Source organism: Homo sapiens, chromosome 9 (assembly GCF_000001405.40).
Source record: "Homo sapiens chromosome 9, GRCh38.p14 Primary Assembly".
Lineage (NCBI taxonomy): Eukaryota > Metazoa > Chordata > Mammalia > Primates > Hominidae > Homo > Homo sapiens.
In genome coordinates this window covers 103,126,052-103,132,246 of record NC_000009.12, presented here as the reverse complement: position 1 = coordinate 103,132,246, position 6,195 = coordinate 103,126,052, and the positions used below count along the sequence as shown (strand labels likewise).

Genomic DNA, 6,195 nt, shown 5'->3' with positions numbered 1-6,195 from the left:
AAAATGTCTGAGAGCCTAATCTTTCCTGTTCATGTCACAAGAACCTAGTTTTTAGCTGAACTAAGAAGAAAGTCCTGCAACACTTTTGGCACCCAACGTGGGGCTTGAGAAAGGGTGAGTAAGAGACAAAACAAAAAATTGTTTTTTCTTTCACTCCTAAGCACTTTTTTCCTCAAACTTCTGAAGGTAGATGAAACTGTGCCCCCACTCCCTGTTGCTCCTGGGGATTGGAAATGTTTGCCTCAGTCCAACCCAGCCTTTTCCTGGCCTTTTCCTTCTTTTTTTCAGCATGGTAGAGCAAGCAAGCTGTGGTTTCCTGCCACCTTCCCTGCACCCCAAGCAGGGCTAGGATGCATGGCCCAAGGGCCCCACATGGCTGGCTAGTTATCTCTACCTCCTATCCATGGAGTCTCTTCCTCCCTAGCCAGGGAGTCCAGCTCCATCCCACAGCAAATTAATGTCTCTTGCTAGTGGAGGAACTATTTGCATAAGAATAAGAGGTTCTTCCCCCTGACCCCGGCATCCTTTTATCTTCTCCACCTTGTCAGCAGTTAACTTTGAAAGGAGGTTTTTTCCTTTTAGAAGATGTTTAGCTGGGCCAGGAATGTTGGGGAGCATTGTTTATATCATCTGTAGAGTTTTAATTGTGAGAAAGGATTTGTGAGGCTGATCTTAAACTGTAGCCAATCTGACGTGCTTTGTGTGTCTTTCTGTATGGTCCATAGCAAATTTTGCTGCAGGCCTCCATCTTGTTTTACGTCCTTGGGAGTAAGACCTATAACCATGTGGCAATATTTTGTTCTAGCTTCTGGCAGTTTACAATAATGGCCTGGGATTCAATCCTAGCTTAGGGAATGAGTTCTTTCTGGTTTTTCTTTTCTTGGATCCTGTTTTGCTGGAAAAAGGTTTTTTCTCAGTTGACTGAATTATTTTTGTTGATTTTGCCTTGCCACTTTTAATGCATGCATGAGAGGGGCAGACCTCTATTTTCCTCATGGAACCCCATAAATTAAAAGCACCAAAGGCTATTAATCCAAAAAGGAGATGAACAAATGAAAATTCTTATGGGGACTGGGTTTTCTTCTGCCTGTGTAGTTATTTATGTGTTGTGTGCGTGATATCTGTAAAAAGAGCTCTAATCACTTGATCTAAAGGTAGATAAACACTTTGATCAAATATTTTTTAAAGAGAAGATAAAGGCTGTGGTACCTTTCCATTCATGTGACTTTAATCTTTGGGAAATAAAAACAGCCTTAAAAATTATTGGTAAAAAGCAGATGTCATCAAAATATAAATAAGTGGACTGAATTATGCAGGTCAGATATTAGGTTGGCTAAATGTTTTAAGGTTATAAACTGCTTTTTGTGTTTTGAGAACTGTTCATCTTAGTAAGGCCTGGAAACATATGGAACTAACCACACCCTTAATTATACAGGAAGGAGTCAAACATTGGCTGCACCAAGAACATAATTAAAACAACTTACCAGGTTTTACATTAAGTTAAAAATTTCTAGGCGTTATCATTAGAACATGTAATTGGGAGTACATGAAAGTTGTGTAAGGACAGTAAAATGTGTTTTTAGTAAAAGACTGTAAGAAGCCATGTAAATGTAAATTGTTGCCTAGGGTTAAAGGATTGTTTTAAATTAGATAAGATAAAAAGCTAAACGTTCAAACAAGTGTGTGAAGGATTGTAAAAATTAATCTTGCAAAAATTCTGTATGAACATATTGACTGTATTCTGTATGTGAACATATTGATTAAATTCAAAAGGATATTAGGTGGTTTTTCTGCATATTGAGCATTAAAATAAAAGCACAGCAAGGTTCTCCTAAAGCACTAATCTGCTCTTTAGCAAAATCTGTAAAGGGTCATAAAAGGTTTTTGCTTTTTTAAGTTTCTGAGTCATCATTTTGGCAAAATAAGTAGCATGGTAATTTGAAATTCTGTTTCATAACATCAAGTGTTTTAAACCTCTAACATATTTAACAGACTTCTCGAAATTAAACTTTAGTTTCATAATTGTTTTTCCTGACACCTGTCTTTTCATATGCTTCAAAAGGGCCCCTGGAGTATCCAGAAAAGAGAGGTAAACAGGATTATTTGACATATTTAGGTACATGAGATTGTCAAAATGGTACTCAATCTTCTTTAGTCTATATCTTGGTAAATGATACTAATATATGTTCCAAAATTGTATGGAATTTCTAAAATTCTAATGTCTAAAGTATATGCTATCAATCATAATTAAAGTTATTAGGTTAAGTTATTGTAAACATGGAGATAGCCAAACTTGTTTGTCAATTGTGTTTCTAACTGGAACTACCCTGGAAATTTTGTTATTAACAGACAATTATTGTCTGTTTAATGCTTTTCAAAAGATGGTTGATAATAAGCTGTAGAACATTGACAGATGCACTCAAATAGAGGTTTTTGATAACTTTGGAGGATTGTGACATTAGAATAAATAAAACTGTACAGGACTCATGAAGATGTGAAATGTTCATGAATATCAAGCAAAACAAGAGCTAACTGAATGAACCCAAAAAGCTGAAGCAACCTTTTTGACTTTTGCTTGAAATATTGTTTACTCTTGTTTTGTTTTTCAGAGTCAAGAAAACTTATTTTGAACTCTTTACAGCCTTTAATAATTGAGTAAGTTATACTCCTGTTAACAAAATTTGGAGCATGTTTATTTCTCTCTGCCTGGTTCCTCTAGAATTTGAAAAATATCTGTAAGTATTCTTAACTGATAGCAATATAGTTGTTTGCACCAGAGCAATAAGAATCCATTTTCTTTTTTTTTTTTTTTGAGACAGAGTCTCGCTCTGTCGCCCAGGCTGGAGTGCAGTGGCACGATCTCAGCTCACTGCAAGCTCCACCTCCTGGGTTCACATCATTTTCCTGCCTCAGCCTCCTGAGTAGCTGGAACTACAGGTGCCTGCCACCACGCCCGGCTAATTTTTTGTATTTTTAGTAGAGACGGGGTTTCACTATGTTAGCCATGATGGTTTCGATCTCCTGACCTTGTGATCCACCCGCCTCGGCCTCCCAAAGTACTGGGATTACAGGAGTGAGCCACCGCGTCCAGTCGTAAGAATCCGTTTTCTTTTGCAACAGGCCACAATTGGAGAAACTTGTTGTTTTACCAAGTCTTTGACTGGAAGGGTATGCTTCCCTTTAAGGAGTCAAGCTCAACTTGCAGAGCTGATATAAAGCCCCTTGGGGAAACTGGTCTCATACACTTATCTACACAGTCCCTGTGCAGAGTTTCTGACCTGTGGTCAGTAAAAAATGTCACTTTCTAACAGGCCCAAGAGCTCCAAGCTTATCTTGGAAACTTAAGAGGAGAGGATCACTGAACTCACAGGTATTTAAAAATAAAAATGCATGGCTGGGCTTGGCTTTAAAAGGTCGTATCTGAGATTCCTTGTGGAACAGAGTTCTGACAAAGTCAATCTAAAAGGCCTATGTAGAGATAGTTATTCTTGCTGGACTTTTCATAAATAATCAGGCCAAGTATAAGACTAAAGTCTATTTTGAAAACAACTCAGTCCTATCATTATTTGTTTTTTAACAAAAATGAGGACTGGAGAGACAGAAATTATATTTCAAAACTTATACATTTGTCATTAAATTCTAAATTCATTAGTTGTTTTTATATTTTTGTTTACATTTTTAGATGAATCCTACTTATTCCTGTGAAGGAACCAGCAATCTCTGGCTGCAGCTCAGAAAGAACAAAAGAGATGGATAATGTAGAAATCTGGGTCAATATTCTAGTTCTGAGCAATTATCACGCAAATCCTGCCAGATAAAGGGAATAAGTAGGGTGTCTACATGGAGGTTTCCTTTTTGGGAAAGTAAGACCAAGGGAACTAACCAAAGCCCAAGCACCATGCATCCAAATCTTAGCAAACATAACTATAGCTACAAGTTATCTGGGCTGGCATGTCACAAGACATTCTTTTCTCTCCCTTGTTGGAGGAGGACTAAATTCCTCAGCTTCACCTTAACATTTGGCTTATGCTAAGTAGTCCATGCAACCCCCATCTGAGACACATTTTTGTCCCAAACTCAATTTTAAGCTTCAGGTCATAGCCCTACTAAAGAAAACTGGATCTCGGGGATCCAGAGGCCAACTATAATGAAAGTTAAAAGGCACAGTGCTGGTGAGTATGGCTGTTTCCTGCTCATTAAGCCAAGCTTTCTGTTTCATGGTTTCATGAATAAAGGTCATGCTAGTATCCTTGGCATAAAAGAGGTCTAGGTAATTCAAGGCTACTGACTGCAGGGAAGATAGGGCATACGTGGGTAAGAGTGGATACTCCCACACCCAGGCCCTCCTGTTAACATGGGTGAAAGCTGCTTTGACACCCATGGGCACCCTGTTGCAGTTGCCCAGAGTGGGGATACTAGGTGAGAGGAAAGAAGAAGGAATGCCTGACTTTCCTTCCCTCATGTGCCTTAGGTATTTGCTAGCAAGAGAAAGGAACCAGGATGCCTGTTCCCTTCTTTCTAAATGAGTATTCATCTCCAGTCTGGACCCCTTTTGAATGCATCCTGAACCCCTGGACTCCTTTGAAAAAAAAATTCCTTCTTTTTTCCTTTCTTCTCTTCTATCTCCTCTTCACTGACAGGTAATTGTGTTTCCATACTATAAGACACTCCTCTCAGATGCATCATCCAAAATGAGAAGAATTAATTTCCCAAACTTTAAACTGGTTGGCTTAGGATTGGGCTCAGGGGAAGGGAACCCAGAAGCCCAACATACCAGCAAAAGGGTAAAGGTTTTTTTTACAAGTTGGGTCTAAAGCCCCCCTCTCCCTGTGCAAACTAGTAAAAAGCCTTGGGATTTTTGAGCTCTTCTTACCCTACCCCTGTCCTTCTTTCATTCTGATACATATTTTCTAATAATCTCACCTTCAAGCCATCAGACTCAAAATTGTCATGTAACTGGAGCCTCAGAAGATGTTCTCTTCTGCTGAGAACCTGTAGATAGGCCTCTGAGGGAGATCTGCCGTTTTCCCCAAAACAGCACCCCCTGTCAGCAGGAAGCAGTTAAGATCAATCTTTAGCCTTGTCTTTAACGTTATTCTAATGGCAGTTGGATGTACTTCTTCAGGGGAGGAAATGAGACATCCAATAAAAAGGGCTCCCTGCAGAATCTTCAACTGGCCCACACAGTGGGAGGATGGGGTGGAGCCTAGGGAAGTTCACACCATTTGCAGAGGGGAGGAGCCTGGCCTCTCCTGACCCTGTGAAGTAACCTGGGATTCAATCTGTGAGGTGGGGGACTGTTAACAGGAACCGCTCTCACTTTGCTGTGTTGTTTTTCCTTTTACCTTTTTGCCCATTAGATTCTGTAACCCCCTCACGCTTCAAAGTGTCTGTGAGCCTCATCTTTCCTGGTGGTGTGACAAGAACCAGGTTTTTAGCTGAACTAAAGAGAAAGTCCTGCAACATATTAATTCAATGAAATGCGACTCAGTCACACCAAGGAATAAACTAGTGGTACATAAAACAGTATGAATAAAACTCAAAATAATTGTGCTGAGTAAGATTATTTAGTCAAACCTATTATATACTGCCTGATTCTAGTTTGGGGAAAATCTGGAAAATGCAGAATAATCCCTAGTGAGAAAGCAGATCAGTAGATATCAGAGAATTTTTGATGGGGTAGAAAGAAGGGGAACAGATTGCAAAACAGCAAATGGAAATTTGATAGGTGATGAATATGTTGTTTGTGGTAATGGTTTCACAGGTTTATGGATATATCAAACCTCATCAAACTACAACTGTTAAATACATCACATTCATTGTATGTCAATTTTAACGAGTCTACAAAAGTGGAACAAAGGAACTGATAAAATTGAAAATCAGGAATGAAAAGACATGTATAAATAAGTGATAACTTTAACTCAACTACTAATTGCTTAGAATACAGCTTTATTCCCCCCAAATTTTTACTTCCTATATGTTATTTGGCCTTGACTGAATAAACAATTTTTGCCTAGATGTTTGGATCCACATTTTAATTAGAATGACCACGCAAAGGAATGGGTTTCCCCAAACATTTTTGAAATAATTAAGAGTAACATTTTTCTGTTCAATAAACACAATTATATCTTTCCTAGGAACTTTAAAGTAGATTAGCATTCATAATCTAGCTGAAACCATTACAGTTCTTATTTC

General features: G+C 38.6%; 1 long non-coding RNA gene across 1 annotated transcript; it reads left to right on the top strand.

Moving 5' to 3' along the window:
* Positions 1-3,067: 3,067 nt before the first annotated feature.
* LOC105376191 (uncharacterized) lies at positions 3,068-5,506 on the top strand. The gene is made up of 3 exons (XR_930192.1): positions 3,068-3,370; positions 3,683-4,784; positions 5,361-5,506. It is a non-coding gene; the product is annotated as an uncharacterized LOC105376191 (long non-coding RNA).
* Positions 5,507-6,195: the final 689 nt, after the last annotated feature.